The 22,042-nt window shown below is 39.8% G+C and overlaps 1 protein-coding gene across 11 annotated transcripts in view; it reads left to right on the top strand.

Annotated features, from left to right (window-relative positions):
* PIEZO2 (piezo type mechanosensitive ion channel component 2) overlaps positions 1–22,042 on the top strand; it is a 479,323-nt gene that overhangs the window by 339,767 nt on the left and 117,514 nt on the right. For 9 of the 11 annotated variants that reach the window (XM_047437736.1, NM_022068.4, XM_011525725.4 and 6 more), the window contains exons 8-15: positions 2,529–2,691; positions 5,809–5,928; positions 8,375–8,413; positions 9,328–9,466; positions 12,281–12,429; positions 14,801–15,031; positions 18,479–18,602; positions 20,438–20,724. In XM_047437736.1, the coding sequence (XP_047293692.1) occupies positions 2,529–2,691; positions 5,809–5,928; positions 8,375–8,413; positions 9,328–9,466; positions 12,281–12,429; positions 14,801–15,031; positions 18,479–18,602; positions 20,438–20,724 (1,252 nt within the window). The remainder of the gene's footprint in view (positions 1–2,528; positions 2,692–5,808; positions 5,929–8,374; positions 8,414–9,327; positions 9,467–12,280; positions 12,430–14,800; positions 15,032–18,478; positions 18,603–20,437; positions 20,725–22,042) is intronic. The other 2 variants (XM_047437735.1, XM_017025918.3) reach the window with 1 other exon arrangement.

Below are 22,042 nucleotides of genomic sequence, written 5' to 3'. Positions count from 1 at the left end.
AGAGTAGTTCCTGGAGAGCAGGTGCAATAGTATCAGTTTCTTTGTACTGTGAGTATCAAGATGCAATCCTGGGAAACAAACATTGAGTAAATTAAATAATTGTTGGATGCTGTGTAGTATCCTAGAATTGCAGTGCCAGAAAGGATGTGAACTTCAAGTACAAATTTCTCATCTCACATATGAATCCTTTCAACAGTATCTAGTTTCTTTAGAAAAAAAAAAAGAGAGAGAGAGATGCCAGGTGCGGTGGCTCACATCTGTAATCCCAGCACTTTGGGAGGCCAAGGTGGGCGGATCACGAGGTCAAGAGATCAAGACCATCCTGGCCAACATGGTTAAATCCCGTCCCTACTACAAATACAAAAATTAGCTGGCATGGTGGTGCGCACCTGTGGTTCCAGCTACTTGAGAGGCTGAGGCAGAAGAATTGCTTGAACCCGGGAGGCGGAGGTTGCAGTGAGCCGAGATTGCGCCACTGTACTCCAGCCTGGCGACGGAGTGAGACTCTGTCTCAAAAAAAAAAAAAAAAAAAAAAAAAAAAAGAGAGAGAGAGAGAGAAATCTTAGGTTTTATAGTATTTGCATAGCTTGATTAAAAAACGTTCCTGTAGGAGACAACAATCTGCTACTGGTTAGCTTCTGCTCATTTTTTTAGGTCTATACATTGCTAATACAAAATCTAAGTCTTATTATTCAGTGTTAGTGTAGGAATGTGCAAAATCAGTTTGGAATCAGTTATGTTATCAGTGGCAAGGTATGTAATGTCTATATGATATGAAGCATTTAGTTCGCTTTACCAACAGCTACAGAAAATTACAATTAAAATTCTGTATGGGACAAAACAAGTATTTTTAAACTGAGAGTTGATGAGGTTAGTTCTAGCATATGTGCCAGGCGTGGAGCAAGGAGAAGGACTCAGCGGCTGGAAGAGCTGTCACTTAGATTAACCCAAGAGACTATCTAGCTTGTCTGATTTTACATCGAAAAGCTTTCAGTTCTGTGTACTTTATACAAGAAATTTACATTTTAATCTAGGGCTGCAAAAACATTTTCAGAAAGTTCTACCATTCTAAGTGGGGCATAACTTTTTTCACTCAGGAAATTGTTATTTAAAATGCTAACTCCAAAAATAAATCTGTCTGGAACTTAAGATAAAAAGATTTTATAATAAGAACAAGTTATGACATAACTTATTTATTTCTGATAAAAATGAAGAAAGTTAGTTTAATATCTATTTAGCTTACTTTAAAATCTGTGTTCATCAATACACTAATATTACACTTGCATTGTGATAGAAAACAGCATTCACCCTGAGAGATTTTACAAGTGGAAGGCATGCAGCCTTTGAAGATTCTATAACTGAAGAATGTAAGATAAAAATGAAAGGAAATTCACATATAAAAGTGCAAACAGGCTGGGTGCAATTGTTCACACCTGTAATCCCAGCACTTTTGGAGACTAACTTGGGAGGATCACTTGAGCTCAGGAGTTCGAGACCAGCCTGGGCAACATAATGAGACTTTGTCTCTACAAGTAATTAAAAAAATAATAGTTGGGTATGGTGGCATACCCTTGTGTTCCTAGCGACTTGGGAGGCCAAGGCAGGAGGATCATGTGAGCCCAGGCACTCAAGGCTGCAGTGGGCTGTGATCATGCTGCTGCACTCCAGCCTGGGTGACAGAGCGAGACCCCATTTCAAAAACAAAAAATAAATAAAAGATGCAAACAGTAGAAAGGTATGAAACTCACTTAACCTATAAAGTTTTATGCATTTAGTAGAGTCTTTTCTTAGAAAAATTGCCCATCAAAATGAATTTCTAAATGAGTCATATTTTACACAGTTTTCCATTATATAATCAGACACATTCTGATTAGTAGAAATCAGCATAAAAATTAAACATTTCAAAATGTAACAGACTCAAAGTCATATTTCAAAGAAAATGATTAGTTACTATGCTTTGAAAAAATCAAATTGCTCATAAATGGTATTTGATAGAAATATATCTTACAGAAATTTTACTGTATATTTGACTTTCATGGCTAAACTGTAGAACTAGCCCAATAATGTCAACACTAGCTGAGTACAACTAATGCTGAACCTAGCCAAAAACAAAATATTTGCTCATTTAGCTGGACTAGTAACATGTTACCACATACTTGGCATTTCTATAATACAGGGTTTTAATAGGGCTGATTAATAATTAAAACATTTCTAATAGATGTGCAAGAATTTAGTATTAACTGGATTTTTGAACTGATGTAAAGATCTTCTGGTTAATGTTGATGTCAATTTTATACATACACATATGATTACTGAATGTATATATTATATGCATATTATACATACATGTCCACATATATTCTTTAAATATGTAATTACGTATACAGAAGGGTAATTGAAATATCTACAATAGAACGGATCAACCTAGGAATAGCTCACGAATGTATCAAAAACAAAGTACTTTTATTCAATGTTGGAGACATATAGCTTATTGCATCTTTTAAGCATTTTTCTTTGTTTTTTAACAGGTTGTTTGGTATCAAGTCAGTAATTCAAACGGACTGTTCAAGTACTTGGAAGATCATAGTGAACCCGGACCTGTCGTGGTACCACCACGCCAACCCTATCCTCCTGCTGGTGATGTACTACACTCTGGCCACTCTGATCCGCATCTGGCTGCAAGAGCCCCTTGTAAGGACAAAAACATTTTCATGATCTTGTCTGCAAAGTAACCTAGAATCTCCACGTGAAATGATTCACTCCTGTTCTCTACTGACTAATCGATACTCTATTCCAACACAACTCTAGTGTTCTGGGTATGATGTTTTAATTCTGCAAAGAGTATTAAGTGAATATAAATACTATCAGATCAAAGACTAGCTTCCCTTTACTACCACAAACTGCTGGTAAGAATGGCAGGCAGTGAGAAGAACAGAAGACTCATTTTTGCTGATCACTTACTGTAATATGCCATGTCATACATTATCTCATTTAATAAACTAAACAACTCTGATCAATAGAATAGGTATTATACCCATTTACAGATGAGGAAAATGAGGTTAGAGATGTCAGTTTTTCTAAAATCACACATTTACTGGATGGTACAAATCAGATTCTAATCCACATTTGACAACAAAGCTCAGTTCTCAGAGACACACACCCCTGTTATCAAGAGGACTGGTGTTTCCCAAATCTCCTCCAGCGCTCTTAGCCTGTGAAGATGGAGTGATAGCCCAGCTCTTGGTGGTGCCTGTTGCCTCCTGAGTATCCCCTTGTGAGGGATGGGGATTCGAATATTCTTCCAGCACAACTGAGGGTGTTTATTCCCTATGAAAATATGAACAAGGACACAGCATTTCTGAGGGGAGGACTGAAGCCTGGGTGGCTTCTCTTCTCTCTTTTCTCCTTCAGTGACAGAAAATATCAGCCTGCTTTTCTTTCCCCTAAATGACTGTCAGGAGCCCGGTTGCAAGGTTGCTTATTGACACATGAAGGAGACAAGCTGTGTAGACAGGGTGGCCGCACCTTTTCAGGCCCCACCTGCGGGGAACCCTACAGCTGGGGACAGTTCTCATGAGCATGGCCCAGCCTGAGTCTCTGCATTCCAGTCCCCCTCCTCCGAATCACTTCTAGCCTGAGGCCCTGCAGAAGTTCCCTACTTTCTCTGTCTGTCTTTGTACCCACAGACCATTCCCACATGTTCATCAGTCAGCCAGTCAATGAGTATTTATGGAAGGCCAACTGGATCTGAAACTAACCTAGGGGCCAGCATAGAGCAATGACTTCAGTAGGCAGGGCCCCACTTAGAGAGCTGTACATTCTAAAAGAGAAAAATGGTCCAAGAGAAGCAAACAGGTTGTAAATCAGATAGTGACTGTAAAACTGCAGGAGGCGCATGGCTCCGGTCATCCCTGACAGAAGCGCCACCTGCAGAAATGAGGATGGTGCTGTCTTCCTCCTATGTGCTACCTCCCCCCCATCTCAGTGGCTAACAGCCATCTGTGGGATTAGGGTCTCAGAGGCCATCCTTGTTAGCAGGGTTCTCATGGATCATCTTTCTTTTAGGCCACTGATGACAGTTGTATAGTAACAAAATGATTTATGGGTGGTAAGGAATCCCAGTCATGTTGTGTTATATTTTTCTTCAGTTCTCTTCTAAAATTTGACTGTGCCAGTAGAATCATTAAAATTGTGTCCAATTCCTCCACAAACATGCATATGTATATGTATATATTCACAAATAAAAACATGTACATAAAAAATTAAATATACATATATATTTTTTTGAGATGGAGTTTCACTCTTGTTGCCCAGGCTGGAGTGCAATGGCATGATCTCGGGTCACCACAACCTCTGCCTCCTGGGTTCAAGCAATTCTCCTGCCTCAGCCTCCTGAGTAGCTGGGATTACAGGTGCCCGACACCACGCCTGGCTAATTTTTTTGTATTTTTAGTAGAGACGGGGTTTCGCCATGTTGGCCAGGCTGGTCTGGAACTCCTGAGCTCAGGTAATTCACTCGCCTTGGCCTCCCAGAGTGCTGGGATTACAGGCATGAGCCACCACGATGGGAACTATTTCTGAACAAACTCTTATACATTATGGAAATTACTTTAAGGCTTTCTAGTTATTAAGATTTCCCAGCCCATTTGCTTTCTCTGGGATATCCCATGTCATCTCTTGGATAATGCAGTAGCTTGATGAGGGCTCCGTTATAACTTTGGGTCCATGCGATATTCTGCTTCCACTGCCATGTGCTGTCTGGCAAGCAAAGGTAGCAGAGAGAGAGCCGGGAAGACCTTCTAGGCTATAGGCCACACAGCAACAGCAATGTTATAAATCACGAGGTCTGCAGGGGTATGTAGAGAAGTGGGCTTCAAACTATCATCAACATTTCATGTGGGCTCTATTTCAAATGGGCTGGGACGGAAGGCCTGTTGCATTGAGTCAATGAGAAAAAGAAGCTGATTATATCATAGTTCCAGGTGACCTGGTGCATTTAATGAAAAATACCGGCCACCAAATGTGAGTGCTGAAGTAGACATCTATGAAACATGTTTGAAAAAGAGAGAGAGAAAAGTCAGTGTCGAGACTTCAGTGTAATATGTGGCCCCCACCTGGCAAATGTAACGCCCCTCCCAGGGAGTTAGGGTGCCCTGCTTAGGAGTTCTACTCTGGTGCACTGGGACCCAGACAATGAGACTAAGTCCACTCCACTCCAGTATCAGTGATGCCTGACTGCCCTTTTCACTAGGACACTTTTGTTGGGAAAACATGCTAAGGCACCGAAGCGCTTCTGTTCCTCGTATTCCTCTCTATCACCTTTCCTAGACCAGTTGTCTAATTTAGGCAAATGTCTCATGTGCATAGATACGCTCTTGCTTAGTGCTGTGTGAGCTCTAGATGATTCTGCCTTCAATACATCCAGTCTTAATTGAAGATTGCCGGCAGCTGGCTTACACGGTTAACCGCGCACCTTTGTGAAGGCTCTTGGCTAAGAGCCATGTGCATCTCTGCTTTTGAGTGCAGTTGAGAATGCACGTGGAAAAGCTGTGGATATTTAACAATGGAGCATATTCTGTAATGCATGGGGCTTAGTAGAATCAGGGGACATTTAATACTGGTGTACTTACAATTACAGGGTGGTATTTTTGTCATTTTTTAAAGTGTCTTGATAAAATCCTGTATATTGTAAACATTCACTTTGAAAAGTCATCATACTGAGCCAAAATGAAAAGCTCTGTCTTGGCCACCCAGGCTGTCTAGGGAACTGCCTCAGGAAGCAAGACTGATCCTGTTTCTGTGTTTCAGGTGCAGGATGAGGGGACCAAAGAAGAGGACAAAGCCCTGGCTTGTAGCCCCATCCAAATAACAGCGGGGAGGAGGCGGAGCCTGTGGTACGCAACCCATTACCCCACTGATGAGAGAAAAGTAAGCCATGATGAAAGGGATTTCCGTTCCCTAATTTTTCTGTTTTTGTATTTTACTGTTGAATATGAGCCTTATAATATCATATATATCATATCATATTCAGGTTGCTTGTAGTTTATAGAAACAGTGATTTAGGAGAGTTAGTACCAGAGAGGGAAAACTATTTCCAAAGAAAATACCCAGATCCCGTCAAGAACATCATTTTATATTTCCGTGCTTTCTACTGAAATCTCCTAATCTTAAAAAGAATGTTCCTATTAAAAAATAATTTTGTAATTAAAACAAACAAAAGTAGCAAAGCAATCTGTTAGCACTGGAGGGTGAAAATTTCAGTGCTGAACTATATTGCAGAAAATAATTTTACTCTGTCGGGTATTTGGTTGATTTGGGTATTTGGCAGACAATTACTTGAAAATAAATGAAGTGAGCTCATCACTTTGAGGCAAACAACGGACAATAATTGTTACCAGTGATAAAATTTAAGCATTTGAGTAAAAATTAGAATTTTTGAAAATTCATATCTACTGAGGGCTTAAAAACTTTCCAATATTTGTGGACTTTTCTGATGAGATGAGGTGATATTGACAAATGTGCTTTTTACTCATGGCATACTGAAACTTGTCAGTATTTGGTAGAGTTCGATACCTGTAACTCACTGAAACAGCAGTTTCCGACTCACCAACACCTGACATGACAGCACGTGGATAAATGATCCAGTCGGGGTGCATGATATGCCAATGGGTTTTAATGTAGCAGAGTATGTATGAAAAGTTCACTGATATGGTTGCAGATTCTGCACTACAACTGACATTCAAGACTACACTGGTTGAGTCTGATCGAGTAGCAAAGACTGTCCACAGTTATTTAGACAGATTATTAAAATACCTTTTTTTTTTTTTTTTGGCAACAGAGTCTCGCTCTGTCACCCAGGCTGGAGTGCAGTGGTGTGATCTTGGCTCACTGCAACCTCTGCCTCCTGGGTTCAAGCGATTCTCCTGAATCAGCCTCCCAAGTAGCTGGGACTACAGGCATGTGCCACCACGCCTGGCTAATTTTTTTGAATTTTTAGTAGAGATGTGGTTTTGCCATGTTGCCCTGGCTGGTCTTGAACTCCTGAGCTTAGGCAATCCGCCTGCCTCGGTCTTCCAAAGTGCTAGGGTTACAGGCATAAGTCACTGCGCCCGGCACTAAAATACTTCTTTTTGACCAAATTGCATACCTATGTGAAGCCAGATTTTCTTTATCTACTTCAACCGGAACACCACATCACAACAGATTGAATACGGAAGCAGATGTGAAAATCCGGTTGTCTTTTATTAAGCTAGACATTAAATAGATATGCAAAATTATAAAACAATGACACTCTCTTCACTATTTGTTTTAAAAAATAACTATTTAAATTATTTATACTAACACACAATGGGTTTTTTTAAATTTTTAATGAATAAATACATAAGTAAATAAGTATTTTAAGACTACCTGGTCTAATTTCTCGTATGGTAGATAATTGATAGATAGAACCCACATAAATTAAGTCTCTTTGGGACCCTCAGTGATTTTTAAGAATGCAAATGAGTACTGACCTAAAATTGTGGTAGAACCACTTGCTGTGCTAATTATTATTTGGGGGAAGCCCAAATCACCTGGTAGTAATGTATTACTAGTTAAAAAGTAGAGTCATATAATAATCATTTTGTTGTAGACAGTATGCAAATCTTAAAATAATCTCTAACCACATTACAAATCAATTTTTCTTTTCTTTTCTTTCTTTTTTTTTTTTTTTTTTTTTGAGACGGAGTCTCGCTCTGTCGCCCAGGCTGGAGTGCAGTGGCGGGATCTCGGCTCACTGCAAGCTCCGCCTCCCGGGTTCACGCCATTCTCCTGCCTCAGCCTCCCAAGTATCTGGGACTACAAGCACCCACCACGACGCCCGGCTAATTTTTTGTATTTTTAGTAGAGATGGGGTTTCACTGTGTTAGCCAGGATGGTCTCGATCCCCTGGCCTCGTGATCTGCCTGCCTTGGACTCTCAAAGTGCTGGGATTACAGGCGTGAGCTACCGCGCCGAGCCCAATTTTTCTTTATTATGAAAATTCTATTTCTTGAAACATAAATACATTCAGAATTCTGCAGATGTCTCAAACGGGTACAAAACTAAGCGCTTATTCTTGTAGAACATAACCCTTGAAAAACATGGTAACATTTATAGACTTGCTTATCTGCTGTATAACTAAACATTAACATCAAGAGCTGTGAAATAGTTGTCATAAACAGCAGCATCCAGCTCATTTATTTGTCCTTTTATATTTTGCATGGCAATATTAATATACTAGCAATCAGCAAGTTAAAGAGAATGGGCTTGTGCACAGTAAAACTTTATAGATACATAAACAGTAAAATGCTTTCAGCTTCCTTACTAACATGCTTTCCCGCATTGCTTTTTGCAGCTTTTATCCATGACCCAGGATGACTACAAACCATCTGATGTTAGTATACCCTTAGAATTATCATTTATGCATGTGTAAGTGATGTAAAGGCAACAAATGGAAGTAGCTCCTTTGAGTCTATTTTAATGATCTATTAAAATTTCCATAAGCTTTTCCATTTTTGGGCATAAATTATATCTGGTAGATTGCTGTTAAATGAAATTGAGTATAATCATACAAAATATATTTAAATTTTAAGAAGCTTTGTGGGCTTTTTAAAAAGTGTTTTGTTCTGTAGCTATGCCTAATTCGTAAGTAGGAAGTTTTGCATGCCCATGGGCGCACATACACCTGTGTATTGGTGGGTGTTATGTTTATCTCAAAAATTGTAAAGCCAAAGAGACAGAAGGATGAAACAAGCAATTGTACTTAGTGGTGTAGTAAGGACATAGCAACCTGCAGTCAGGCAGAGATCCCCAGAGGGTGATGCCTTAGCTGAGATCCAAGGGATGTTTGCATTAGTCCTGTGCAGAGCCACATAGGGCATAGGCAGGACAATGTTGGACCACAGCCCAAGAAAGGTCTAGAGTCCCATATAGATGGAGGGATGGCTGAGAGGTGGACAGTAGCAAAGGCTGAGGCTGGAAAGATCAGACCAAATCTTGAAGGCCTCCTTCAGCCATTTACAAGAGTTTGCTCTTCATACTGAGGACAGCAGGTGCGAAGCATGGTTTCAGGCAAAGTGCAACAAGATCAGATGCACATTTTCCTGCGATCACTCTGTGGAGACTAGAGTTGGAGAGGGAATGTACAAGATTCCCCTTACTAAAATATTTGGGCAATTGGCTAAGTTATTCAGCTTGTAATCAACTCCTCACTGTTCAGTTAGGGTGGAGGAAGGGAAGTGGGGGTATGTCTGCATTGAAAACCCAGAGCTGCTGTAACAGTTGTCCCTTTCTCTGCACTCCCGGCAGGGCCTGCTGGTGACTGTGAACGGCAACCCCGTGGATTACCACACCATCCACCCAAGCCTGCCCATGGAGAACGGCCCTGGCAAAGCCGACCTCTACTCCACCCCTCAGTACCGGTGGGAGCCCTCTGATGAATCCTCAGGTAGGAGCCAGCCCTGCACTCAGGGTCGCATTTCTTCCTCATTTAGAAGCTTGGCCTCTCTCTTTTTGTTGTTGTTGCTTATTTTATTTTTTTAAAAACTGTATCCATGTCAGTGTCATTAACCTCACTTCTTTAAGTTCTGCCTGCATTTTGCCCCAGCATATTGCTAGTTGTGTTCTATCCTTGTATACAAAGTAAGTGACATAATTGAGGCAAACTTTTAAAATAAAAGGTGAAAATAGTATTTTAAACATGTCAACTTAGGTATAGCATCTATACATATGTTGGTCTTTCTTTTAGTTGATATTGTAATTATGGTCAGTGGTTTTCCTGGTTAATATATGAATTTTTTTTTTTTTTTTTTGAGACAGAGTCTCGCTCTGTCTCCCAGGCTGGAGTGCAATGGCACGATCTCAGCTCACTGCAACCTTTGCCTCCCGGGTTCACGCCATTCTCCTGCCTCAGCCTCCCTAGTAGTTGGGACTACAGGTGCCCACCACCACGCCTGGCTAATTTTTTGTATTTTAGTAGAGACTGGGTTTCACTGTTTTGCCCAGACTGGTCTCAAACTCCTGAGCTCAGGCAATCCACCTGCCTTGGCCTACCAAACTGCTAGGACTACAGGGGTGGGCCACCGCACCCGGCTGAGTGTTTTTTAAGAGTCCTTTTTTTTGTCCATTTTTTAAAAAACGAGGTTGTCTTAACTTTTGCAAGGCTTTTTGTCTCCCTTTTCTTTCAGTTGTTTATGTTGAAGGAGACCACTATTACTAAAGATGACAAATTGGTGACTTGGGGCTGAGTTTCACTCTCAGATTTGATTTTTGGTCTGCGCAGCATTTAAAACAAATTCAAATAGCCATCATTTAAAAAGCTGCACCTCTGACCTAGAAATGGACACTTCTGGAATCCCTTGAAGACTGTGAAGGTCTGGCAACACTAGTCCCTCACCTCTACAAAACAGCAGTTAGATGGACCTCTATTGTCATTGCCCCTGCAAGGGACCAATTGCCTGTCACCAATCCATAAAGACAGAATTACAAAGCGACTATAAAACTAGAGTGGATTTGCATCTCTATTTGTATGTAATTACAGCCAGAGTTCTTAGACCTTGTCGTGCCTTTAGTGAGTGGCCACAGCTCTCCAATTTGCATCTGTGGTACATCACACATACTCCAAGGGCCTTTTCGCATAACTCTTTATCAGGTTTATTCTCATGTCTGTTCTTCATAATTCTGTATCAGTACTTCCTGGAGTTGCCCCACAGGGCTTCTTAATACTTAACTGTACAACTGGTTAGTCATATTATCTGACATTCCGCAGTAAGGTTAAATCAAGGTCAGCCACCACCCCCACCCCACCCTCACACCCAACCCATGATGACACCTGAGAGCTGCATAGCTTCAAACTCTACTGTTTCGTTCCCTGTTTCTGCTTCCTGCATGTATGTGTTTTAGTTTGCAGCTCAGGCTTAAACTGGAAAGTTCAAGGAAACACAGTGCTTTCCAGTGTGCTCTTCAGAGCATGAGCACCAGAAGCAAACACACAGGGCCCAAGAGTCAGCATCTGTGGCTTCTGACGTTTGAGCTGTTGGGGTCACAGCCTAGACAACCTTCTACTTACCCATTACTTTCATGTGGACAAGTAAATTGAATTTTGCGTGCTGACACGGACAACCCAGACATACTGAAATCATAAACTGGGCTTTCAAAAGTGAAACAAAAGCTGGAAAGATTTTAAAAATTAAATCTATATACACAAAAAGTGTTAACCAGAGAAGCAGCATGGCAGTAACTCTAAAATCCATCAGATTTGGTGTTTTCACCCCTGTCTATGATCCCAGGGACTTTTTGTATAAACTGCAGGCTCATCCAGTCCTACTGCAGGAAGAATGAGAGCCAGTGGGCTTCTGCCAAGGACACACCATCGTCTCATTGCAGAGCCCATGTGGAGTAGTATGCACAGTCACTGATTTTTCAGTCATTTATACCTCTTTATGCTGCTAAGAAACTTTCTCCTGTAACCCACCTATACATAGCCCATTTGATTTGAACAAGAAAGGCAGAAAGGGCAGTCTACTTAGTGGCTTAGAACAGCACTTAGTATGACACACTTTCTCTGGACCAGGAACCTGGCCATCACTAGGCTGGTTCCTCTGGCTCAAGGTTGCTCATGAGATTGCAGTCAAGCTGCTATCTCAGCTGAAGGCTTGTCGGAGAGGGGGAGAATCTGCTCCCAGGCTCACTGTGTAGCTATTGGCTGGCCTCAGGCTCTTGCTGACATCTGGCTGGCAGAGCCATCAGTTCTCACACCTGGGGCTCCCCATAGGGCTGTTTACAGCATGGTAGCTGGCTTGTCTGAGGACAAGCAGGTGAGAGAATAAGAGAGAGCACTCAAGATGAAAACCACAGTCTTTTTAAACAGAATCTTGAAAGTGACCCTTCATCCCCTCTAGAGTGCCCTATTTGTGTTAGAAGAAGCTTGTCACAGGTCCCACCCACACTCGAGGAGAGGGCCCACACAACAGCATGAACACCAGGAGGTGGGGGCTCTGATGACAGGTTTAGAGGCTTCATTCCGTATCTTCTTACATGGAAATTTTCCTTTCTCAATTATCACATGCTAGATCCCATTACACTGACCATGCAGAACTTACTGATTCTGTTTGAATTTTAAGGGCTTTATGAATGGGAAACAATTTCTGAAATCTTAAATAAAAGGCTATACCAAAACCATACATGTGCTGCATTGCTTGGAACATTTATACAAATGTCACATGTTTGCATAAATAGTTAAATAAAGTATTCGTCCATCTAGAAAAGCGAGAGGAGGAAGAGGAAGAGAAAGAAGAATTTGAAGAAGAAAGGAGCCGTGAGGAAAAAAGAAGTATCAAAGTTCATGCCATGGTCTCCGTATTCCAATTTATTATGAAACAAAGTTACATCTGTGCCCTCATAGCTATGATGGTATGTATGATATGATGATAGGTATAATATGATATGTATAATATGATATGATGGTATGTGTGCCATGACGGTATGTATAATATGATGGTACATATATAATGGTATATAAGATATGATGGTATGTATGATATGACATGATAGTACATATATGATGGTATGTAAGATATGATATGATGGTATGTATGATATGATGGTAGGTATAATATGATGATATGTATAATATGATATGATGGTATGTGTGCTATGATGGTATGTATAATATGATGGTACATATATAATGGTATATAAGATATGATGGTATGTATGATATGACATGATAGTACATATATGATGGTATGTAAGATATGATATGATGGTATGTATGCTATGACGGTATGTATAATATGATGGTACATATATAATGGTATATAAGATATGATGGTATGTATGATATGACATGATAGTACATATATGATGGTATGTAAGATATGATATGATGGTATGTATGATATGATGGTGTGTACAATATCTGATGGTATGTATGATATGATATGACGGTATGTATGATATGACAGTATGTATGATATGATGGTATGTATGAGTGGCGGCTGCCAGGGTGCTGGAGAAAGGAGACCACAGTCCCACTGGCTCTAAGTGCTGCTATCTTCTCAGGGCTAGCAGAAGTATAGGGATCCCCCTAATGCCTTGGCAGAGAACGGTCAGCTGCGTTAATTTTTCATGGGATATTTATACTACAGATTGTAAAATTGTGTCCTTTTCAATTCTATTTATCCTCCTTTTAAGTATTAATACATTTCTTCCAAATTAGCTTGTCAAGTCAGACTATCTCTTATTTTGCCAATTTGAGAGGACATATTAGTTTTTTTAAATGACATTGAAGGTCTTCAAGGTTAACATAGGCTACTTTTATTCGTTTCAGATAGTGAGAGTTATATTCACATCTTATCTTAGATTTGGGTGAGACGTAATTCCTTCTTAGCTGCAATAACTTTTTTTTTTTTTTTGAGATGGAGTCTTGCTCTGTTGCCCAGGCTGGAGTGAAGTGGCACAATCTCAGCTCACTGCAAGCTCCACCTCTCGGGTTCACGCCATTCTCCTGCCTCAGCCTCCCGAGTAGCTGGGACTACAGGCGCCTGCCACCACGCCCGGCTAATTTTTTTTTTTTTTATTTTTAGTAGAGACGGGGTTTCACCGTGTTAGCCAGGATGGTCTCGATCTCCTGGCCTCATGATCCGCCCGCCTCGGCCTCCCAAAGTCCTGGGATTACAGGCATGAGTCACCAAGCCCGGCCAGCAGCAATAATGTTTTACCAATATGAGCATCAAGCAACCGTGGTTCCCTAGAGCACCTTCCAATTGTGAGCTCTCAGTTTATGTGTGTTTCTACTCACCATCTGCAACATCACACCTTCAAAACAGACCCTTGGCCCATAGATAGAAGATAAAAGAAGCTATAATCTCTCCTTTTCCCAAAAACAAATTTTCTTAGGAAATTTGATTTATTTTTGAGAAACCTAATATTCTTGTTTAAAATACAACTCTTCCAAATTCTGTGGTCAACAGTGAGATCCTATGGACACCTTTGATGATAAAAATAAAAATATTCTTTAACTCAAGGGACACAGAACCTAGGCACGGTTTCCCCAGGCACTCAGTCCAGGTGCTTCTCAGATGAACCTGTGTATGCTCAACTTCAGTTTCCAGTAAGGAACACAGCCACATGTGAGAGGAGACTGGGAAAAAGAAAGCACCACAAAATTGAAGAGGCTAATTTGGGGATTGCCAGCTCTATTCTTCAAATAAAATTAGTTCTGTGTTCTTTGGTTACTTTTTGACATTTTCTGTACATCAACTGCTACTTTAAACTGCAGCAAATCTCTCATTCTGAGCTCACAGGAGTATACCATTTTTTTTTCTCTCTAAGCCAGATAAGTTTGGTCTTTTCTTTAAAGCAATAGAGCTGAATAAAATAAAATAAAATAAAATAAAATAAAATAAAATAAAATAAAATAAAATAAAATAATAAAATAAAATAAAATAAAATAAAATAAAATAAAATATTTGAATACACATTTTGCTACTTAACTGAAAAAAGTCTATTGTAAAAACAACACAATCCTTCATTAAAAATGTGCCCTTGTCCGGTACCATTCTGCTGTGTTAATGGAGCTACAATGTTAAAGCTTTAAAACCTCCTGCCTTCCAAGCCACCACTCCACGGCTTGGGGTCTCCATCACTCCACCACAACTCTCTACTCTCCCTGGTTTGAATATTATGACCTTTTCTTTTTAGATAGTTTTTACCTTACCAGGGCGGGGGGGACTGAGCATTGTATTGACCATGGTCGTGTTTCCTTTTCTGTCCTCCGGAGGCCTGGAGCATCACCTATCACAGCTGGCTGACCTTCGTGCTGCTGATCTGGTCGTGCACTCTTTGGATGATTCGCAACAGAAGAAAATATGCCATGATCAGCTCTCCCTTCATGGTGGTTTATGGAAACCTATTGTTGATATTACAGTATATATGGAGTTTTGAACTTCCTGAAATTAAAAAAGTTCCAGGATTTTTAGAAAAGAAAGAGCCAGGAGAACTTGCTTCCAAAGTAAGTGAATAGAATACAATAAAACAAAACAATGACACAAAACCACAATCATCATCATAATCGTATCCAAGAGAAACCTTATAAAAACAGGTTCCAAATATTCACTGCTTTGTAAAAATGAACAAACATGAGACTGTAAGAAACAGTTTGCGGTGCTTAGAGGCCTCTATAATTTAAACATGAACATATATTACACCATGATTTAGCTTTTACTTAGGAATGACAATGTTTTCCACTCAAAGAAAACTTGTATAAATGTTTTTAAGTATAAATCCTACTAGAGTAAAAATTAGGTGTGAAAATAGGAAAATACAGTGCAAAATGTGTTAAGGGATTATAGGACTGTCTTTGATTATCATTTTATAAAACATGCTTAGTGCATTAGTGTCACAGATAAGTATTGATTATTCATGACGTTTTTCTCCAATTCTTTCCTAAAGAACATTTTTAGCAGCAAAAATGAAGTATGACACTTGCTGTTTTTCTTCTACTGATTATATGATATGTTCTTATCTGAGTTAGAATGTTCATACTCTTCTCATTACTTATTTGCTTTCATGGGCCATTTTAACAGTTTTATTTCAAAAGATTAGGTTTCCCAACTTACTGTTTGTTTTGTTAACAGAATGGCAGACTAAACACACATTCCCTTTGTGTTAATAATTTAGTTTTAAGACAGTAAAAATAAACGTGTTTATATTGAATGGGTCTTGGAAATTAGTGTCTTTGGAGGAGATGGTCATTTCATGAATTACATGAAATTCACCTTTCCTGGGAGCAAGTGCCCGCTTTAAGGGTTGCCACACACCCCATATCCAAGGCAAGCAGGTGTAAATGGGGTAGAGTAGACTAGGGCAAAGTTTGGTCTTCGTAACAGATTTTTGGGTGAAGAGCTACTGGGGTAAATGAAACACAATCCAACAGGTGAATTCTAGTGACAGAGGTGAGAATATAACCCCTGTGTTCATGGACCAAGGGAATGTCATTCATTGATTCATTCATCCCAAACTCCTATGCCTGCTTCTCCATGCTGAAAATCCCACGTTATACTCTCACTTACAAGGCACCTTCATCTAACACTCTTTTCTTTTACTCTCTCTCCCTCTTTCCTCTTAAACACAGACCCACACACACATATTCACACACAATTGGTAACTTAGTCTTATTCTATTTTAAAAAATCAAAATTATTTTCTTTTGACTGTGTAAATTCATCACAGTCTCACTCCGAATAGCAATGAAACTGCTAAAATTGCATGCCAAGTCACTAGTTGAATTGTCTCCTGTCGAATCTAAAATTAACAGTTCTTTAGGAGGAAAACATTATTTGGGAAATAAATTTGTTACTCGTGGAAAAAAAGAGTTACTCCGGGAACCTAGGTTCTGCACTTATATTTTAATGCACCCAGGAACTCAGAAAAAGTGCAAGGTTTTGTCATAGAAGATAGTAATACATCTCCAGGCTTATAACATTTCTATTACAATAACATTTGTAAAGCACATTTTTTTTTTTTGAGACGGAGTTTTGCTCTGTATCCCAGGCTGGAGGGCAGTGGCGCAATCTCGGCTCACTGCAAGCTCCGCCTCCCGGGTTCACGCCATTCTCCTGCCTCAGCCTCCCGAGTAGCTGGGACTACAGGCGCCCACTACCACGCCCAGCTAATTTTTTTGTATTTTTTTTAGCAGAGACGGGATTTCACCATGTTAGCCAGGATGGTCTCGATCTCCTGATCTCATGATCCACCTGCCTCGGCCTCCCAAAGTGCTGGGATTACAGGCGTGAGCCATAGTGCCCAGCCAGAATGGCTATAATTTTTAAAAAGGCAGATAATAACCAGTGCTACTGAGGACATGGAGAAGTTGAAATGGTCACACACTGCTGGTGGGAATGTAAAATGGTGCAGCAACTTTGGAAAACAAAGTGCCAATTCCTCAAAATTTTAAACATAAAATTTCCATAAGACCAGCAATTCCAGTCCTAGGTTCATTTACCCAGGAGGATTGAAACCATCTGTCCACACAAAAACTTGTATGTGAATGTTCATAGCAGCATTATCCATCATAGCTAAAATATAGAAATGATCCAAATGCCTATTAACTAATGAAAGGATAAAATGTTGCATGGCCATACAATGGAGTATTATTGGGTGTTTAAAAGGGATAAAGAACTGTGCATGCTACCAGTGGATCAACCTAGAAAACATTATGCTAAGTAAAAACAATCCATTTATGAAAGGCTACATATTATATAATTTCATTCATATAAAATTTCCAGATTAGGCAAATCTATAGAGACAAAAAGTAAATTCGTGGTTGGCTAGGGCTGAGATAGGGAGAAAAGGAAGCAACTGTCGTGGGGCTTCTTACACAGGGTTGATGAAAATGTTGCAAAATGGATTGCAGTGATGGTTGCACAACTCCGTGAATATACTAAAAACCACTGAATTAGACAATTTAAATGGGTGAATTGCATGGTATGTGAATTATATATCAATAAAGCTATTTTTAAAAACCTACTCTGTGTGACCAGGCATGGTGGCTTATGCCTGTAATCCCAGCATTTTGGGAGGCCAAGGCAGGCGGATCACCTGATGTCAGGAGTTCGAGACCAGCCTGGCTAACATGGTGAAACCCCGTCTCTACTAAAAGAATACAAAAACTAGCCGGGTGTGGTGGTGTATGCCTGTAATCCCAGCTACTTGGGAGGCTGAGGCAGGAGAACCACTTGAATCCAGGAGGCAGAGGTTGCAGTGAGCTGAAATCATTCCATTACACTCCAGCCTGGACAACCAGAGCAAAACTCCCTCTCAAACAAAAACAACAGCAATAAACCTACTGTGTGTTAGGTACTGTATTTCCTAAACAATAGAGTTCCCCTAAATCAAAAGGTTTTTGATTTCTTAGTCCTTAAGAAAATGTTACTATGAAAGCATGGGCACTTAGAACTAGTGTCCCTTCAGCTTTAAAAGATTAATAATAAGGGGTTCTATTTTCTGGGATGAAATTTTCCTTTTCCCATCTACGGAATTCTTCAAAATAAGGAACATTGCAGTCAAGGGAGTATTATGCAAGAAGTACATCTTCCTTTTACAATTGTAATGACGTCACAGTCAGGAGGGAATCAACCACGGACCAGCACCTCAAGGAAGACCACCTGTTGCAGCTGATTTCCTGCCCAGGTGGAAGTTGTTAGAAAGGTTGGGTTCATCTTCCTCAGGACTTGCGTGGTGCTTCTGGCACCCAACACAAACATGGGAGCATCCTCGGAAAAGGGACTTAAAAGCAGTGAATCTCAGCTGAAGTCAAGCAGGTGACCTGACTCTGTCTCCAATAAAAAGGTTTATTTATTGTGCTCCCACTGGAATGCGGAGAAAATGTTACATTTGTTGAATGTTTTTACATTCCAAATGGTTGCTTAATTCTTGTTTTGCTGCTTCTCTACTTTCAGATCCTTTTCACCATTACTTTTTGGCTACTGCTGAGGCAGCACCTCACAGAGCAAAAAGCTCTGCAAGAAAAGGAAGCTCTTTTATCGGAAGTCAAAATTGGCAGTCAGGAAAATGAAGAAAAAGGTAAATTAGTGTATATGTGTGGCTGGAGAGTTTGGTGCTCAGCAAAATTACAGAGAAAGAGCCCCAAAATACATCAGACAGCTTCAGAATAAATGAAACTGGAATGTAAACTTGGAGCAATAAGTAACGTTATTACAGCGTGTGACTTTTGAGGTACACGTGAGAGTTGCACAGGAGTGCTAAAAATGTGCCAGTTGGGCCGGGCGCCGTGGCTCGCGCCTGTAATCCCAGCACTTTGGGAGGCCGAGGTGGGCGGATCCCGAGGTCAGGACATTGAGACCATCCTGGCTAACACGGTGAAAACCCGCCTTTACTAAAAATACAAAAAACTAGCCGGGCGTAGTGGTGGGCGCCTGTAGTCCCAGCTACTCAGGAGGCTGAGGAAGAGAACGGTGTGAACCTGGGAGGCGGAGCTCGCAGTGAACCGAGACCTCACCGCTGCACTCCAGCCTGGGCGACAGAGCGAGTCTCCCTCTCAAAAAAAAAAAAAAAAAAGTGCCATTTGATCCTCACGAAGGTGATTCCCAATGAAAGAAAAACTGAGGCTCTGAGAAATTAAATGCTTCCTCCCAGGTCATACTTCTAGTGAGTACTGGAAACAAGAAGCTAAGTCACATCTTTCACATTTAAAACTTCTCTCTTCTTTCTTAACAATAGTATACCACAATGTAAAAACAGAGGATGATGATGTTATCACCTTGATAATTTTAGACCTGCTATATAGGTAAAATAAGAACAGCTTGCTCCCTAATTCCCTAGGTATGCCAATAAATGTAAATTTAATATTTGTAGAATGGATTGAAGACTATTGTGAGGTTAAGAAGCACTGTCTGTGAAAAGGAGCCTAGAAATGTCCACAGAAGCTGGGCTGGTCACCTTCAGATTAAACCAGTAACCATAAGAATGAATACAGGCATATATATATCTCCATACACACACACATATATTTATGTTTAGTTTCTTATTTGGACCTAAACAATGAGTTGTTTTTCAGTAACAAAAGTCTGTCTATAAGATTCAAATCTTGCCTGTATGAGTTTGGATGTCTCTGTTCAACATAGTGATTAAATTAACCAGTTAATTTTGGTAAAAAATGGTTAATTTGAGATCAACTGTTGCTCTGAGCCCTCACTTGATTTTCACTCTTCTCACTGTGAATCTACTAGTTGTTTGAATAAATTATTCAAATTAACCCCAATAATTATTTTGAAATAATTATTCAAGTTCTTCAAATATAAGGCTGTGTAACACAGAGATGACTCTTATGTATTTTAAAGCAACACAAAATAAGTTTTTTATTTTGATCCATTAAATTGTTTTAAACTTAAATTACAATTACTCTTTCAATCTAATTTAAATTAAATTATGTTTTGCTGTAACTCTTAAATTTTTAGTTATTTAAAAGTATACTTTTTGTTTAAGATTGTTAGCATTAACCACATTTAGTAAAGTACTATTTGGATTGTCTAGAGCCATGAAGCAATTAGAATTTGAAATTGATATAGTCATTTAGATTTGTGCTATTGTTGCCTATTTATTTTTTACATCTCACAGTACTTAAAGCTATCACTGGATATCAGAAAGAAAAAAGATCTTGTATATAAATTAGTGTTACCAAATTTATTTTCTTGTAAACTATATTTTGAGAAGGTTATGAAAATTGACTTTTAATCTAGTTATAAATGTTGCTGAGTTTATGAGAATAGTCTAAAATCATCCAAATTATACAATAACTTAGAAAATGCATGCCTCTACATCCTATACCTATCACATGGTCAAAGTGTGGTCTGCACAGATAACCAGCTAAGTATAACAGCACAGTTTTCTATTTGAAGATGAGGAACTTCAAGATATACAAGTGGAAGGAGAGCCCAAAGAGGAGGAAGAAGAGGAAGCGAAGGAAGAGAAGCAAGAGAGAAAGAAGGTAGAGCAAGAGGAAGCTGAAGAAGAAGATGAGCAGGACATCATGAAAGTCCTGGGCAATCTGGTGGTGGCCATGTTCATCAAGTACTGGATCTACGTCTGCGGAGGCATGTTCTTCTTCGTCAGCTTCGAGGGTAAAATCGTAATGTACAAAATCATCTACATGGTGCTGTTCCTGTTCTGTGTGGCCCTATACCAGGTAGGTACACAGTTGACCATTTTAATTCTCACATCTCTCCCAGGAGTATACATGAGCTACCTCTGCAGAGATTTTAAATCACTAGAATCTCATGAACATGGATAAAGTGATTGGCAAGATTCAAACATCGTATCCCAAGAATCCTAAAATGGGAAATGACTGTCTTCAACTTGTTTACTATTTCAGAATTTCAGGGCTGGGTGCAGTGGCTCATGCCTGTAATTTCAGCACTTTGGGAGGCAAGGGAGGAGGACTGCTTGAGGCCAGGAGTTCCAAACCAACCTGGGCAAAATACTGAAACCTTGTCTCTACAAAACATTTTCTTAAATTAAAAAATTAGCCAGTTGTGGTGGCACACCTGTAGTCCTAGCTTCTTGGTAGACCAAGGCAGGAGGATCACTTGATCCCAGGAGGTCAAGGCTGCAGTGAGCTATGCTTGTACCACTGCACTCCAGCTGGGCAACAGATTAAGATGCCATCTCTAAAAAAAGTAAAAATAAAAATTTTAGGTTGTTGAAAAATCAGGAAAAAGTTCATACATAGGTTTTCCAAAAATTATTGATCAAAAAAAATCTGTAAAATTGAATTACATTTCTATTTCTTCCTTCCTTCCTTCCTTCCTTCCTTCCTTCCTTCCTTCCTTCCTTCCTTTCTTTCTTTTTTTTTTTTTGAGACAGGGTCTTGCTCTGTCCCTTAGGCTGGAGTGTAGTGGCGTGATCTCTGCTCATTGCTCACTGCAATCTCTGCCTCCCAGTTTCAAGGAATTCTCATGCCTCAGCCTCCCAAGTAGCTGGGATTCCAAGTGTGTGCCAACACCTCCAGCTAATGTTTGTATTTTTAGTAGAGACGGGGTTTCACCATGTTGGCCAGGCTGGTTTCAAACTCCTGGCTTCAAGCGATCTGCCCTCCTCGGCCTTCCAGAGTTCTGGGATTACAGGCATGAGCCACCGCACCTGGCCTGTAAAAATTGAATTATATTTTAAAATAGTAATTTAAAAGCTGGATAATCTGAAGTCGTAGAGTATTCCTAGGTATACTTTTGCATTTCAGGCTTTAGGGTCAGAAAAAGATATATGTGTGGCATGTGCCTGCTCTTTGTGTACATATATATATATGTATAGTGCATTGACTGCTTTCATATTTCATTAATTAAAAGAATTTCATTCATTAAAATAAGTTAATATATGAGATACATTAAAATGAGTTACTTCTCCACAGACTCACTTTTAACTGATGATAAAAGAGAACCCAATAATAGAAACACATGAAAGAGTAAAATATCTTGCAGGTAGCCAACAAAACAAATAAAGGAACTACA

Source organism: Homo sapiens, chromosome 18, assembly GCF_000001405.40.
Source record: "Homo sapiens chromosome 18, GRCh38.p14 Primary Assembly".
Classification (NCBI taxonomy): domain Eukaryota; kingdom Metazoa; phylum Chordata; class Mammalia; order Primates; family Hominidae; genus Homo; species Homo sapiens.
This window is presented reverse-complemented; position numbering and strand designations above follow the sequence as displayed.